This window comes from Homo sapiens, chromosome 8 (assembly GCF_000001405.40).
Source record: "Homo sapiens chromosome 8, GRCh38.p14 Primary Assembly".
NCBI classification, from domain to species: domain Eukaryota; kingdom Metazoa; phylum Chordata; class Mammalia; order Primates; family Hominidae; genus Homo; species Homo sapiens.
This window is the reverse complement of record NC_000008.11, coordinates 123,728,174-123,745,329: the sequence shown is the minus strand read 5'-3', so window position 1 is coordinate 123,745,329 and position 17,156 is coordinate 123,728,174. Positions and strand designations below refer to the sequence as shown.

Sequence of the window (17,156 nt, the reverse complement as noted above, 5' to 3'; positions counted from 1 at the left end):
GTCATTTGTTGCCTAACTATATCTTGGCTTCCAATTGCACTTTTTAATATCTTATTCCTCACACATAAATTTGAAGTTCTTGAGGGGCAAGAACTCTGTTTTTTACCTGTCTGTCTTCTGCCTCATGGTGCCTAGCACAGTGCTGTAACACCCCACACTTAGCAACCAATACCTGTGCATTAATGAATGAGTGCTGGGTTCTGAAATTCTGCAGTGTGGGCCCTAAGCAGTGGCTTATCTCCCCAGAGGCATTAACAGTGGAGCACCCCCCAACCCCCGCCGCCCTCCACCAACCAGCAAAGCTCACGATGACAAAGTCCACAGGGTGGAGCAAGTCAGAAGTGGAAATTGCATGAGTGCGCGAGCAGATATTGAATGTTGGGTACCTGCAGGTCAGCCCAAGAAGATTCACAGAAGGCGTTCCTGGACATGGAAGCTCTAAAGGGAAGGGCACTTTACTCACCTTTTAGTGTCTCTAATGTCAGGTCTTAGCCTCTGGGGTACCATTTCCACCTTCTTCTCCCATCCTCATGAACTCTCTCTCTCTTGTCTCCTTTCTTTCTCTTTTTGCTCTTCTGTAGTGGACATCTCTTTTTTGGCCAGCCTACCATTACATTCACCCTTCTTTTATTAAGGGCACCCCAATTTTCTCTGGTGACAATCTTTCCCCTACTCTCAGTCCACATGGTTTGGGTGGGATTGACTTCTCACACAGCTCTAGAGGAGGACATGAAATCTGGTCCTCACAACCTGCCCCCACCCCAGCTATGGTGACAAGTTCAGAGATGAGGATGAATCCCAACGTGAGCCAGAGAATCACACCAGGTTCTGTATTCAAACTTATGGGGAAAAAAGCTCTCATTTCCTTTTCACTAGTTTTGGAATTTTTAAGCATGAAAACATTGATCCGCAAGCCAATATCTTGCCTTTGAAATGTGGAATCTCTTTGAGAGGGGGGAAAGAAGCACTTGAGAGATGGAGAGAGACAGTGGGTCTCCAGGATATATTTTGAGTAGCTGGATCCAGTTATGCCTGAAGCTAGCGCGTTTTCCAATTATGTGAGCCAAAAATTCAATTGTTTGCTTAAGTTGTTGTGAGTCAAGTTTTCAGTCACTTGCAACCTACCTTCCTAAACCGAAAGTGTTCATGGTAAATGTAGAGATGAAGCCCAACTGCTCTATTTACATAGTACAAAGCCAAGAACTGGACAGAGTGAGTGACTCTGATGTGATCACACACGTAAGTTGTAGCAGAGACCACCCTAAATCCAGGGGGCTTTGCTGTCCCAGGGCTGTGGTTTTTCTGCCACAAAATGCAACATTACATTAAGATGTGGTTTTGCTTATACGGATGTTTCATTTCCCCAACTAGAGCGTAGCATCTAAAAGGGTGGGGTGAGAGCTGTGTCTTGTATTTTTGCTATTCCCTGTAACTCTGCTTAGTGTCTTGTACATGGGAAATGTACAATCAGTATTTGCTAACACACCCATGAGTTTCAGGTGGCATTTTGTTCTATGTTATTTTTATTTTTGTACATGCAAGATGAAATGTGTGACTTTCAGGGTTTTTACTACTGGAAAAATATAGGAGTATACTTTCAGCGACTCTAATGATTTCCTGCAGATTTCAGTCTTTTCATCTTAGTCAAGCAATAACTTTTATAAAGTAGGCATTATATGAAGACACTGTGGGAATTAGTTAAGCAATAGTCCTGTTTCTGCTCTTAGACATTTATTAACTAATGGGGCGAGGGGAGACTATGCACAAACATGACAGAAATCCTAACATTTTTGCTTTTTCTATGTGGAAGAAAGTACCTGTCCCAAAATCAACTGTAATTTGGGGGTTTTAGCTAAATTACCTTACATAAATAAAATACTACGAATTCTCCCTGCAGAAAGAAAAATCAGGCAAGTGTTCAGCATTTAGAAAATAAACATTTATGTGCTTTTATTTTAATTAATATTGTATGACTATAAGAGAATCTGAATTACTTGTAGTCTTAATATCATATAATATTTTCCCCAAAGTATTTCTAAATGGAAATTTTATTAAATGCAAATTACACAGCATAATGTAGTTGCTGTGATTGTCACAGCAATCAATGAGATTTTTGCTTTCTGTTTAAGGTGTTTTAGTTTCCTAGGGCTGTCATAACAAAGTGTCACAAACTGGTGGCTTAAGACAACAGAAATCTATTGTCTTACAGTTCTGGAGGAGAGCAGTTGAAAATCAAGGACCAGCCTGAGCAACATAGCAAGACCCCAGTCTTGAACTCCTGATCTCAAATGACCTGCCTGCCTCAGCCTCCCAAAGTGCTGGGATTACAGGTGTGAGCCACCACGCCTGGCCAAGACCCCATTCTCTTTTTTTTTTTTTCTTTTCTTGAGACAGAGTCTCACTCTGTTGCCCAGGCCAGAGTGCAGTGGTGCAATCTCGGCTCACTGCAAGCTCCGCCTCCTGCAAGACCCCAGTCCCTAAAAAAAAATTGTTCGGAAAATTAGCCAGGTGTGGTGATGCACGCCTGTAGTCCCAGCTACTTGTGTGGTGGAGGGCTAAGGCTGGAGGATCACCTGAGCCCAGGAGTTCAAGGCTGCAGTGAGCTATGACTGTACCACTGCACTCCAGCCTGGATGACAGTGAGACTCTGTCTCAAAAAAAAAAAAAAGTCCAAAATCAAAGTGTTGGCAGGACTGTGCTCCCTCTGAAACCTGCAGGGGAAAATTCTTTCTCTCCTTTTCCTGGCTTCTTGTGGTTGCTGGCAGTCCTTGGCATTCCCTGGCTTGCAGCTGTAGCATGCCCATCTCTGCCTCCATTGCCACATGGCCTTCTCCCTGTGTGCCTGTAACTTCATATCGCATTTCCCCCTTCTTCTACGGACATCCATGAAACCATTCTGTTTTTCACTTTCAGTGCAGTATTCAATAAATTACATGAGATATTCAACACTTCATTATAAAATAGGCTTTGCGTTAGATGATTTTGCCCATCTATACACTAATATAAGTGTTCTGAGCATGTTTAAGGTAGGCTAGGCTAAGTGATGACATTCAGTAAATTAGGTGTGTTCAATGCATTTCCAACTTAACGATATTTTCAATTTATGATGAGTTTATCGGATGTAACCCCATTGTATTGTAAGTTTCGGAACATCCTGCAGTATAGAATCTCATCCCACCATTCTTTCTACTAACTAGCAGGCTGATGTTGGGTGAGATATTGTCACTTTCCAGGACCGGAATTTCCTAATCTATAGAATGAAGGAGTTGGTCCAAGTGATTTGTCTCTTCTGGTCCCCCTTGTCCATTTACAGATTCTCCAACTTTCTTTTTTTCTTTTTTTTTTTTTTTTTTGAGATGGAGTCTCGCTCTTTTTGCCCAGGCCGGACTGCAGTGGAGCTATCTCGGCTCACTGCAAGCTCCGCCTCCCGGGTTCACGCCATTCTCCTGCCTCAGCCTCCCGAGTAGCTGGGACTACAGGCGCCCGCCACCGCGCCAGGCTAATTTTTTTTTTTTTTTTTTTTTGTATTTTTAGTAGAGACGGGGTTTCACCGTGTTAGCCAGGATGGTCTTGATCTCCTGACCTCGTGATCCACCCGCCTAGGCCTCCCAAAGTGCTGGGATTACAGGCGTGAGCCACCACGCCCGGCCCACATTCTCCATCTTTCATACTTTTCCAGTAGCTACAATTAAGCTCATAGCATTGCAACTTCAGATTTTACAGAATTTTAAGACCCGGGAGCACCACAAAAGTTCATAAACTCTTGGTCTGCCGATAGAGCCCATCATAGAAGGAAGGTGAGAGAGGCAGAATGTCTCCCACCTTTCAAGGGGAGTGGGACACCGTTGGCTTGAGGACTGGACAATTCTTTGCTGTGTGGGACTGTCCCATGCAGTGCAGGATTTTTCTTATCCCTAGGCTGGGCTCCAGTTCCCACTCCACCACTCATTATGGCCACTCAAATACTCCCACACACATTACCAGCTGCCCTATCGGTGGGCAACATCATGACTTTGAGAACCAAAATCCAAGAGATGTAAAAAGCAGATGTAGCCCAGTTGACTAGAGGAACCTATTACACAGCACCTGTTATAATTTATGATCACTAAATATTTACAACCATACAAAAAGCCCTCCCACCTGTCTTGTGCCTTCTCTTCACCCAGATCGTGTCTTCTCACACTTCCTTCCCAGATAGTTTCCTCCTTCTCCCCTCTGGGCCTCCAAGCATGCATCCTTCCAGAAATGGCCTGAGGTCACAGGAATGTTCCTTCCTTCCCCACTGCTGCTGTTGCTGGTAATTATCCCAGCCACCTTCCTAAGTACCCATCCACCTGAGGAAGGAGAAAAGGAGGGGCACTTAGGGAAGCACCATCTATGTCAAATCAAAACCTGACTATGGCCAAATCTAAATAGTCAATAGGTGTCTACACTGGTAGAGATGTTGAAAAGTAAAAAGACACTCCTGCCTCTCAGCTGTCTATCTTTCACCTGGAGCCATAAACTGTATCTCTTCCTTAACTAGGCATTTCCTGTGCTCAGTAACTCAGCACCCTTGAACAGCACTTATCTCTACAATGAGCATTGCACATCAAATTGCCCTGCCCCTTGTGACCTCTGAGATGTCACTACTCAGGGGTCCCTGAAGGACGTGGTTAATGACACAGAGGTGGGACACAGAGGACGTGGCCTTGGGAAGTCTGGGCTGGCAAAAGGAGACAGAGGATAATAAAACAAAAATTCAACACTAAAGAAAAAATAATAGTGAGTGTTCAAAGCAGTGGTCATTAACCTACATCTTCTTCTCTTCTCCCTCATTCTGCTGTCAATTCCTGGAGGAGAGTTTGTCTTGCCCACCACTATATTTCCACACCAGGCACCCTGTGTGGCACCCAATAGTCTCCAGTCTCAATGACATCTTTTATTTTCTCCAATTCACAAAGCTCTTTCCTATGTTGAGCCTTAGCACAAGCTAAGAACATCCAATTTGGAGCACTTTCTCTTTTTAAATGATGAACTCCTTCTTTTAATTCACAGCTTCAGTGTGAGCTCCTTGAAAAGCCCTTTCTTCATTTAAAGCAAAGTACACACACACACACGTGTGCACACACACACATACTCTTATGTGCACACACACACACGGGTTACTCTTTATTCTAGCGTCCTGCTTATCTTCTCCATAGCCCATATGACAATTTATAATTATTTATTTGTTTGTTTCTTGTATAGAAATTTGACTGCAAGTTCTAGGAAGGGAAAATCCATATCCATCCTGTCCGTCTTTCCAACAATTAGCACATCCAAGGCACTCAACAGATAATAGTTTAAAGAACAAAATAATAAATATATAAAATCAGAATTTAATAAACCTATACAAAATTTTAATTCTATGTTACATAAGAAATTAGCTTTAAATAAAAGTGGCATCTTAGACCAATAGTGGAAAAGTGCATTATCCAGTAACTGTCTAGGATTGACTGAATAACAAAAACTAAGCTGACTCCCTTTGATATAGTTTGGATGTTTGTCCCCTCCCTATCTCCTGTTGAAATGTAATTCTCAATACTGGATGTTGGACCTGGCAGGAGGTGTTGAATCATGGGGGTGGATCCCTCATTAATGGCTCGGTGCCATCCCTTTGGTGATAAGAGAGCTCTTGCTCTGCGTTCACACATGATCTGGTTGTTGAGAAATGTGTGGCACCTCTGCACTTCCTCTCTTGCTCCTGCTCTTGCCATGAGACATACTGGTTCTCCATCACTTTCCTCCATAATTGTAAGCTCCCTGAGGCCCTCCAGAAAGGAAGCACCATGCTTCCTATACAGCCTGCAGAACCATATGCCAAAATAAAACCACTTTTCCTTATAAATTACCCAGCCTCCGGTTCTTTCTTTATAGCCATGAAAGAACAGCCTAACACACCCTTCCTTCCTTAATGTATGTCAAAATCAATTCCAGATGAATCAAAGATATAAGCCTTTGAAAATTAAGCCATTAAAAGAACTTGGAGGAACACTTATGCAAGAAGATTTAAGCATCTTAATGCAGAAATGGTTTTTCTAAGCAAGTCAAAAATAAAAGACTGATATATTTGAATACATCAGAGCTAATACTTTCTTCACATATATACCCTCAAAACAAACAAAGACAAAAGATAACAAACTGGGGAAAAATAATTGTTACACTTCATGAAGGCCTAGATTTTATTATAAATAAAGTGTTTTACAAACAAATAATGAAAATACTAATAACTCAAAAGAAAAATAAAGACCACAAACAAGCAAACCACAGAAAAAAATACACAAATGGCTTTAAAGAAATGGGATATACAATTTCCAGGATATCAAATGAAAGAAATGTAAATTTAATAAAACACCATGTTTTTATCTTTGAAGTTGGCAGAAATGACAAAGTTTGACAATATTTAGTGTTAGCCAATATGTAGGGAAAATCACACTGGTATATTCATATAGTGGGAGTGAAATTTTCATTTTTTTAAAGTAAGCCTCATGGATCAGCTGGTCTTTAAGAGTGGTCCAGCATTTTATGTCAGTGTGGAGGACAACTTGGCAACAGCTATCAGAATTTTCAGTGCACATAGTCTTTAGCCAGCAACTCTATTCTAAGATTTTATTCTACAGATAAGAAAGCACAACAAAGATGTGTATGAGATATTCATGCAAAAGATCAAAAACAATCTAAATGACCTTCAACGGTAGACTGATGAAATAAGGTTTGGTTCATATCCATAACAGTTGACTACATGGCCACTGAAAAAGAAATGTGCCAGTGTCAAATATCTCTTTAGTATATGAAATATACACTATATTAAGTGAAATAAGCAAGGCACAAAAAGACAAATATCACATGTTCTCCCTTATAACAAATATCACATGTTCTCCCTTAAATGTGGGAGCTAAAAAATTGATCACATGAAGGTAGAGAGTGGATAGATGGAGAAAAGAGACTGGAAAGGGTGAGTTGCGGGGGAAGAGGAGAAGTGGGTTAAAGGGTACAAACACACACTAAGATGGAAGGAATAAATTCAGTGTTGGATAGTAGAGTACGGTGGCTGTACTCAACAGAAATCTATTGTACTCAGGCAAACACTCTCAATACCCTGACTTGATCACTACTCATTATATGCATGTAACAAAATGTCTTATGTACCACATAAGTTTGTACAAATAAAAAAAGAAACATGTTGTAATAATCTCAGAAAAAAAAAGGAAAGACAAGAAATATGCAAGGCATGGAACAGAATACATTGTACAAACCCATTTGGTGAGGAAGAAAAGACAAGTTGGATCAAGATAAACAGAGAGGTAGGTAACTAGACAGGCAGACCGACGGACATAGCTGAATATGCATGGACCACTTCAGGAAGGACTCACGGAAAACCTCTGGGGGAAGGAAAAAGGAAGTCAGTAGGCCGACTTTTCACAGGACCTTTATGTATTATTAGAAACAAATTTACCATCTGCACATATTACTTTTTAAATTCAAAACTCAGTAAAATTTTTTAAATGATCTAGTGTAATGCAATGTAGCCTTCGAAAAATTCTCTGTAATAATAATAACAATGTTAGTAAAAAATAGTAATATTTTTCTATTTGGTTAATGCTTTCATTACTAAAAGGCATAATATTTTAAATGAACACCAGAATATGAAAGAATAACTCAACAATTCAGAAGTGAGGCAGGTTTAGTCTTTTAGGTGGGAAGAAGCTATTCAACTTTAAAAGCCTAAACTTTATTTATTAAGAAGTATATTATTTTAAAAACATGGGTACCAAGGAAACCTGGGCAGTCTAAGTTTATCTGTAGCTAGAGCCACTCCCTACCCATCCCCAACAATGTATTCAAATTCAGTGCCAAAAGTTACTTATTAAACACAAGAGATATTATGTCCGGGGGGAAAACTGTTGTAAACTTTGCCTGTAGGAGGACTGATCTCTTGATGAAATACAGAAAAACCATCTCAGAAAAAGGAAAATGGGCAATCGTCATGTAAGTACTCATTGCCTTTGGGAATTGGTTTTAATTTTGGTTAGCATGTGGAAGAATTTAAACTATAAAATCATGACTGATACTTGTATACTTTATCACTATGGTTACCCTTTAATATTGGTTTTAGCAACAGCATACCATGCTTTTAAAATGCATTGAGGCCGGGTGCGGTGGCTCACACCTGTACTCCCAGCACTTTGCAAGGCCAGAGTGGGCGGATTACTTGAGGTCAGGAGTTTGAGGTCAGCCTGGCCAACATGGTGAAACACTGTCTCTACTAAAAAAATTAAAAAAAAAAAAAAAGTTAGCTAGGTGTGGTGGAACATGCCTGTAGTCCCAGCTACTCAGGAGGCTGAGGCAGGAGAATCATTTGAACCTGGGAGGCGGAGGTTGCAATAAGCCGAGATTGCACCACTGCACTCCAGCCTGGACTACAAGAGTGAAACTCCGTCCCAAAAAAAAAAAAAAAAAAGCACTGGGGATATATTATTCCCTTATTGGCCAAAAATCTCTTAAGAGGGGCTAAAGAGAAAGAAGTATGTAAAATAAGGCAGTAAATAGTGCCTTGCAGAGAGCAAATGGTTAATATGTATCTGTAGAATGTATAACTAAAGCTGTTAGTTTGTAGCAAATTTGTATAAAACTTCATAAACTAAGCCCATTCAGAGTTATGTGGGAAAGATAGGTTCATGTTGCAAATATTAATAGACCAAGGTAAATACTCATGTAAGTCCACACAACTTGGATTGCAAGGTGAAAATATTCCATTATTATTTCTAAACATCCACATATTTGCAAATATCCATGGAATGGACTTAATAATTTACATTTCTTTTGAAATGTTTAGGCTCCTGAATAGTGTGTCTATAAATAGTTAATGACTAAAAACTGACTAAAACACTACCTTTTGGAACCAACTACACACAGGACAGATCAGAGTTGAATCTTGAATATTTTTTACATTGAAGTATATCTAAAGCTATTCCAATACAAATCTTAATAAGGTTTTGTGTACCTGCTGTAAATTTCCACAGCAAGAATGATATATTTCATGCACACTATGAGCAGAGAATAAAACTCCAAAACTTTCTGTAAACTGTTACTTTGTCTATAAGGTTTTTCCTTCGCTATATATTCAAGCTGCACTCAGATGTTTACAAACTTACAAATATATTCTTAGGAAAGGCATTGTTTTTCAAATCATCTACAAATAGCATTTTCATACCAGCAGAGATTATGAGCCATCCGTTCAGTGTATCTTTCAGAGAAACTGAAGCCTATTTTTCAAATATTTCTGATAGATGCAGAGGACCCCAGGAATAATCAATGGACCCTGCATTCACAGCTTAGGAGGATAATTTTGTCTTTTGAAAGTCAACCTAGGGAGCAGCTGGCCTTTAGGAGTGGACCAGCATTTTTATGTATTTTTTTTTAATCCTCAGAGCCAGTCGTACACCCTCTCAGAAGGCAGTCAACAGTTGCCTAAAGGGGACTCCCAACCCTCGACAGTCGTGCAGCCTCTCAGCCACCCATCACGGAATGGAGAGCCAGAGGCCCCACAGCCTGTAAGCACTTTATTTTCCCCCCAAATCATAGGTATGACCCCTGCTCTGTCATGGGGCCAATATGAGCCCCCAGTGATCTGTCATGTTGGACCCTCCACCAGCCACCAGCCATCATCAGGTGTGACTTCCAAGCAGGGAAATCTTTCCCTGCAAAAAGTTTGTTACTGTATTTACAGGTAATGTAAAAATGAACTCTTCTAGGGGCTTAGTTTCTGTTCCCAACAGTGTCTCATTAACAACTCCTTGAAATCAAGCACATGAGGCTACACCAGGACCACTATGACATTTCAGAAAATAGTAAAGGAACTCAACATGTGCACAAAGAATGAATACATGTAAAAAAGTAAATACAAAATCTTTTTAAAGAACAAAAAACTATCCCAGTAATGGCTTAACTTATTTGCATTAGAAAGTTACTTGAATATGTACAAACAAAACTAGAATGCTGGTGGTTTTGAAACAGCTACACAACCAAAACAAATATATAAATTAAATGATAATGTTATAAGTCAATGCTGTTTAAATGTATGTCATCAACATAGTGTAATAGACAATGTTATTTTGTTGAGATTCAATAGCTGTGCTCAACATGAAATGGTCCCAATGGCTATAATGCTGGGTTTGTTTTTTTTTTTTTTTTTGAGTTTTACTTGGTTTTTGTTTTGGTTTGGTTTGTTTTCTGAATCTCAGCAAATCTAAAATATGATGTGGTATGTGACTTCTGAGTTCTTTTATCATATTTCTCTATTGAACCTACTGAGACACTTTTGTTTGTAAGCCTCCTTGTAATGCCGTGGGACCTTCTCTCGGCTTACACACATGGTGTTTCTATTAAATCTCCCTCTGTTCACTCTTCTTTCATCATTAGCCTGCAATTATTGAAGTATGGCTGTTTGGCATATAAACAATCGTAAATACAAACACAAATGCAGACATTTAAATCATGAGCCAGGACTTGGTCATCTTGATGATCTAGGATGCTTTATATTAATTTTTAAGTTATTATCAGCATGAAATGCAAAAGACTCCTAGAAAAGTTTTTATTCCCCCAAGAATATGTCCACAGACCAGGGCCCATAGATAATTGACAACTATTATTGCAGAGCCAGTAGAATATTGGCCAGGAAATTGCATTTTTCAAGGTACTATCATCTGAAATCCTAACCAATCCTGAAACGAAAATTACTTTTGTGCTATCCTCAATTCTTTTGCCACTATTAATGATTTTTTTGAACCAAAGACCTAGTGTTTGTAACTAACCTATGTGGAGCAGCAGTAACCAAGATACTGGGTCATTATCATCCGCCAAATCACACAATGTTCAAAGAATTTCCTTATCCTGGAGGACATGTCCTTGTGTCCAGTGAGCTTTGCAGGTAGAGTGTACACAGAGAGAAAGATCAGATCAGTGGAAAAATCTGCTTAGGTTTAGCTAGATGACTCTTCTATTGTCTGGGTTTTCACAAGAATCACTATCTAGGGAAAAATACAGAAGTGAGATCAATATTAAGATTACTTTACCACGGGAGTGTGGCTATAGGATATGTGCAGAATGACAGAGGGAGGGAGACCTAGTAGAGCCATTGATAAATGTGGAAATAATCACAAACTCAAATGGACTCATGATTTCTGGGAAATTACTTGCAAGGCTAATGAACAGGCAATAGAAAGGACTACAGCCCTGCTACTCAAAGTATGGTCCCTGGATTTGTAGCAGCATCCACATTGCGTGGGCACTTGTTAGGAATGCAGATGCTCAGCCCACTCAGATCTATTGAATCATAGTCTGCATTTTAACAGACTCTTCAAGTGATTTTCAGGCACATTAAAATCTTAGAAGCACTGGACTATGGAACGCGTTGTCAAACTTGCCTGCATTGAGATCACCTGAGGAGTTCTAAAAGCCACCGATGCCTGGGTCCCAGCCCTAGAGTCTGAATTAATTGGTCTGGTGGTTGTCCTGCGCATCAGGGTTTGTAAGTGCTCCCCAGGTGGCTCTAATGTGCAGCAGAGTTTGAGAAACACTGGACTGTAGAATATGGCTAACCTTTCAAGAAGAGCTCTGCACACTGGGGACAAAGGCAGATGGTCATTGCACATGCTCCTAACTGAAAACCGATTTGTAAATGTTAGAACATCTGTTCAGTGGTCTGCCACGTTGTTTGTGAACATGCCAAGTTTATGACTTGCTTGTGCCAATATTTAGCCAACATAAATATTGTCTCCAGTGGAGAACAGTTTGGGACTTGTGGCAGGTGAACACCAGGCAAGGTGAACACTCAGATGAACGTGGACAAAGAACATCTGAAAGCTGCATGACAAGTGGGGAAATAGATCCAGATTCCTGAGAAAAGAAGACAGGCTCTGGAGGCAGGTGAAATATGGCTGAGAATTTGAAATTAAAATAAGTATGGTCTTAACCAAGGGTGTGCATTAAACTGTGATCCCAAATCCAGAAGACCCATGATCAAGCCCTAGCAGAAAGCAGTCTAGATCATTTCAAAAGACTTAAATAAATAAATAAGATCCTTATTTATTTATTTATTTAAGATCATCTTAAATAAATAAGATTAGGAAATATTACTTTTTTTTGAGACAGGGTCTTGCTCTGTTGCCCAGGCTGGAGTGCAGTGGCACAATTATGGCTCACTGCAGCCTCAACCTCCCTGGTTCAAGCAATCCTTTTACCTCAGACCTCCAAGTAGGTGGGACTACAGGCATGTGCCATCATGCCCAGCTAATTTTTTTAAAGACGGGTCATCCTATGTTGCCCAGGCTGGTCCCAAACTCCTGGGCTCAAGCGATCCTCCCACCTCAGCCTCCCAAAGTTCTGGGATTACAGGTGTGAGCCACTGCACTTGACCTCAGGAAATCTATTATCCCAGAAAGTTAGTCCTTCAGAATGCCACTGCAAAAGTGTAGGAGGAAGTGAAAAGGGCCTTTGATGTCAAAGCATGACATGCACCAATGCATACCTTCTTCATTTAAAGACAAGTCTCTGAAGGGTAGCTACATTTTAGGTACAATTATGCAATCTTGGCCTTTTGGATATTTTGTCTATGGTGGATGCAAAAAAAAAAAACAAACCAGCCATTGTAAGGAGGTGGTAAGAAGTCGGCAGAGGACAGATACACTGATAGAAGGAAGAACATGTTAAATGAAACCTCAACACAAGAATTCTAGAGCCGCGGGAGTCTGGAGCCACTTGGTGCAGGGGAGAGAATCCTGCATGTCCCAGCAGCGTGAGCCCACCTCCCAGTGCTACAGCCACAGCAACAGGAACCAAAACTAAAACTCCCAGTGGTGATGGTTGTAACTGGAAGTTTAAACGAGATCTTCTGAAATGTTAATGATAATAACTGACATTTATAAAGTGCTTACTAGACTGTGGGCTGTTTTGAGGGTGTGAACAGTGACCCTGGAAGTTTGAGTCCTTCACGCCACCAAGCACTTCACATGTGTTACGTCATTTGGTCTTCACAACAATCCTATCAGGGAGATACTATTATTAGTCCCCTTTTAAATATGGGGAAAGTAAGGCAAAGAGAGTTTAGGTAAATTGTTCCTAGTTGGACAGCTAGTAAGAGGTCAAGCACAGATTTGGATTTAGGCACAAATTTTTAACACTATGCCTTGGGTTCAATAAAGCTTCTTTTTACGCCAAATAGAAGATTAACCTATTGGGATTTCTGAAACTGTTGAACTGAATCATCACCTCGTCATCTCTTTAGCCCCTTCCCTGAGCTTTCTCCATCCCCTGCCCCCCAAGCTGGATTGGATGCTCTTCCTTAAGGCTTCCATAGTTCTCTCTGCATAACTATTACTCCACTCCCATGTGGTTTTAGAACCATCTGGGTTTTTTGTTTTTGTTTTGTGTTTTGAGACAGGATCTCGCTCTGTGGCAAAGGCTGGAGTGCAGTGTCACAATCACTGCTCACTGCAGCCTCAGCCTCTCGGGGTTCTCCTACCTCAGCACCCCCATACCCCCAAGTAGCTGGGACCACAGGCGAGCATGACAACGCCCAGCTACTTTTTAATTTTTTGTAGAGATGGGGGGTCTTCCTATGTTGCTCAGGCTGGTCTAGAACTCCGGGGCTCAAGAATCCTCCAACCTCAGCCTCCCAAAGTGCTGGGATTGATTACAGGTGCGAGCCACTGTGCCCAACAGAACCACCTGTTTTGTATACCTGCCTCACACTGGACTGATGGTTTCCTGAAGGTAGAATTGTATTTTGTTCACCTATATATCCCCATCACCAACACAATGCCTGCAGCATGGTAGATGCTTAATAAAATTTGGATAAATTCATCAATGCATTCATTGCATTTTCTAAATAAATCTTAAACAAATCAGTGTTTTGCCCAGTTGGAGTTCAAATTCTTATATCTATTTACATTCCCAGACCAATTCATGCGCAAGGCCCTGGCGTCTGTATATTTTTAAACTCCCCAAATGATTCTAATGTATCCAAAGTTGAGAGCCACGAGTCTAACGTCAGGTATTCTAGTGCAGTAGTTTTCAAATGAGGTCTCCCAGGCCCGCATCATTGGTATAATCCAGGATCTTGTTAGGAATGCAAATTCTGGAGCCCCACCCCAGATCTACAGAATCAAAAACTCTGGAGATGGGATCCAGCAATCTGCATCTGAACAAGCCTTCCACGTGAAACTGATATGTGCTCAAGTTTGAGAATGACAGTTGAAGCATAAGCCTTTCCCATGCCCAGGCTGGGGCTGTGCCTCAGCATTGACTATGGGGAACTCCCACCATTCAACCTACAGAGATGCCCAGATGATGGCATTGAAACCCGGGTTAGCACCACACCTGCCTCCTCAGGCTTCTCACCCGGAATGCAGCCCGGAGAACTCCCCCATTCTGCTCATTTCCCCACCCCACCCAGGGTTCCCTCTCTCCCTGCTGCCATGTAAGATGTGACTTTGCTCCTCCTTCACCTTCTGCCACAACTGTGAAGCCTCCCCAACCATGTGGAACTGTGAGTCCATGAAACTTCTTTCCTTTATAAATTACCCAGTCTGGGGTAAGTCTTTATTAGCAGCTTGAAAATGAGCTAATACAGACAGCAATAATTGGATTTAGGAAATACTCTAAATCCAGGATGATTTCATTTTGAGATCCTTAACTAATTACATCTACAAAGACTCTCTTTCCAAATAAGGTGAATTCTGCGGCTGTGAGTAGACATGAGTTGGGTGAGGGGGTGGGGGTGATACTGTTCAACCTACGACACTAAGGAAATTAGATTTTATTTCCTTAGGCCAGCAGTGATTTTAAACTTCAGCACATTAGAGTTCCTTGGAAGGCTTTCTTAAATGGAGAGTTGGGTCCAACCCCCAGAATGTTGATTCAGTAAATCTAAGGTGGAGCCCGAGAGTCTGCATTTCTGAGTTCCCTGGTGATGTTGGTACTGCTGGTCTAGGAACTACACTTTGAGAACTGCTGCCTTAGGCATAGGGAAGCCCAAGTCAGAATCAGACAAGGGAGTAACAACTTGAGTGCTGCTTTTAGCTAGACCATGCTGGAAGCTAGTGGAGAAGGGCTTGGAGAGAAACATGACTAGAGGCAAGTCAAGCACTTCGGAAGCAGTGGCCCTGGAGAGAAATGAAGACCCTCTGCCACCCTCCACCCTCATCGGCTAAAATAGCAACAATGGAACTGGGGAGAAGGTAGATCTGAGTCAAACGAACATAACTTGCTAAGTGGATGTGGGAGGTGAGGGAAAGGAAGACGACAGAGTGACTCCAGGTGTCTTGTCTAGTTTGTGTGCACAGGTGGATGGTGGCACATCCCAGGGATGTAAGGCAGTGACAGATTGAATTTGGTTTGGGGATCTATAGAGTTTGAGATATCTTTGCGAAGTATGAGTTCACAGTTGTTTTTGTTTGTTTGTTGGACAATTAGTATGTGTTTGATCGAAAGTAGCACACCACAGGACTCACTTTGGCTTAAATAACAAAGACATTTAATTGTCAATTCTAACAGGAGCTCTGAATTAAGCTGATTCCAGTGTTGGTTCAGCAGTTCAGTACATCATTAGGGACCCAAGCTATGTCTGCCTTTCTGTCAGACATACTCTGGATGTATTAGCAATGTCTCCCCACCTAGGTGCAAGATAACTGTCATGTGTTCAAGTTAATGATCTCTCAAGATAGTCACAAGCAAGAAGGAAGCAGATAGAGGGAAAAAATACCTTCTTGCTTATGTACATCTCCCCTATCAGGGAGGAAAATCTTTCTGCAAAGCTCCAAGCAGCAGACATCCCTTTCTATCTCACTGGCCAGAACTGGTCAAAAGCCCAACCCAAGACTGGCAAAGAGGAAGAGGAGAGCCTTGAATCATAATTCATCCCTGAGGCTGAACAAATCATCTTCTCAGTTCTCTCTCTCTTCTTTCTATGTGTTGGCCTCTTTCTCTCCTACTGAAAATAAGCTTTTTGTTTTCCTCGTATGGGAAGCAAAAGGGGCTGGTGAGAGGGAGGCATGGCCATAGATAGTTCAGGCACCAAGAGAACTCCATGGCCTCACATAGCTCCAGATTAGCAGCCTCAAGGAAAATCTCTTCTTTCTCTAAGTATCTGTAAGATGTCAGGGAAGAATTCCAGTTGGCTTGGGTCATGGACCTACCCTGTGAATAATCATAGTAAGTAAGGTTGGCCTTATCTTTATCATCACCGCTTTCTTATAACTATTATATTTATTAATATACTACTGCTATTACTACTACCACTACTGATACTAATACTACTAGATGGACTGAAATAGAAGGAGGATGCAAACTTGAAAATCAGATAGAAAGGGAGAAAATAATTCTCTTTCCAAATAATGGGGACTTGGATGGTTGTAGTAGGAATGAAAAGGAAGATAAAATGTTAAAGATAATTTTAAAGAAATAATAGACTAAAAATTAATTAATTAACTAAAAGAATTAATTTTTTTGGATCCAATGCATAAACTCTTCTACCAAGGGAAAGAATAACATTCATTGTTTTGATACTGATTGAGACAGAAATTTGCTCAAAGCAAATTTAGCTATTTTACCTTGTTTCCTTTTCAGCAAATCAGAACTTGTCCACATACTGTTGACTGCATCCTGCTACACAGCACATTTGATGCCATGAAGGCCCCGCTCAGCCCCCAATATTCTCACTTTTCAATTCCATCTGCCCACTTATCATTGACTCTTGAGGATTCCAGAGTACACTTGCTACCTTTTTTCCTGCAAGTAATGAATCCCATGTTCATACTCTCATTGAATTGGCAAAAGACGACCTTTGGCAATATAAGAAGGAAATGGATCATTCTTTTCTAATGAGAAACGTGCTTCATTTTTCATAACTCCTGAAAGCATGGTTCCTTTCACGGTTGAGAAATATCCATCATCTCCACACAACCACTTTATCCTCCAAGTTCTCTTTTGTTGATGCAATACAGTGGTAATTGGATATCTGGAAGTTTAGCACTCTTCAGAGGTCTCCAACTCCCCAAACAATCTGTGGACAACCTCAAAGCAGACAGTCATTTTCCCCAGGACACAAAATCTTGTTTCCACATAATGAATGTTAT

The 17,156-nt window shown here is 40.9% G+C and overlaps 1 protein-coding gene and 1 long non-coding RNA gene across 3 annotated transcripts in view; one reads left to right on the top strand and one right to left on the bottom strand.

Annotated features, from left to right (window-relative positions):
- The window catches only part of LOC105375739 (uncharacterized), a 46,366-nt gene that overhangs the window by 20,917 nt on the left and 8,293 nt on the right, over positions 1–17,156 (bottom strand). The gene's annotated exons all lie outside the window — the stretch shown is intronic.
- The window catches only part of ANXA13 (annexin A13), a 56,600-nt gene continuing 47,380 nt past the window's right edge, over positions 7,937–17,156 (top strand). The window contains exons 1-2 of one of the 2 annotated variants that reach the window (NM_001003954.3): positions 7,937–8,010; positions 9,453–9,575. In NM_001003954.3, coding sequence (NP_001003954.1) covers positions 7,996–8,010; positions 9,453–9,575 — 138 coding nt within the window. In that variant the 5' untranslated portion in view covers positions 7,937–7,995. The remainder of the gene's footprint in view (positions 8,011–9,452; positions 9,576–17,156) is intronic. The other variant, NM_004306.4, reaches the window with a different exon arrangement.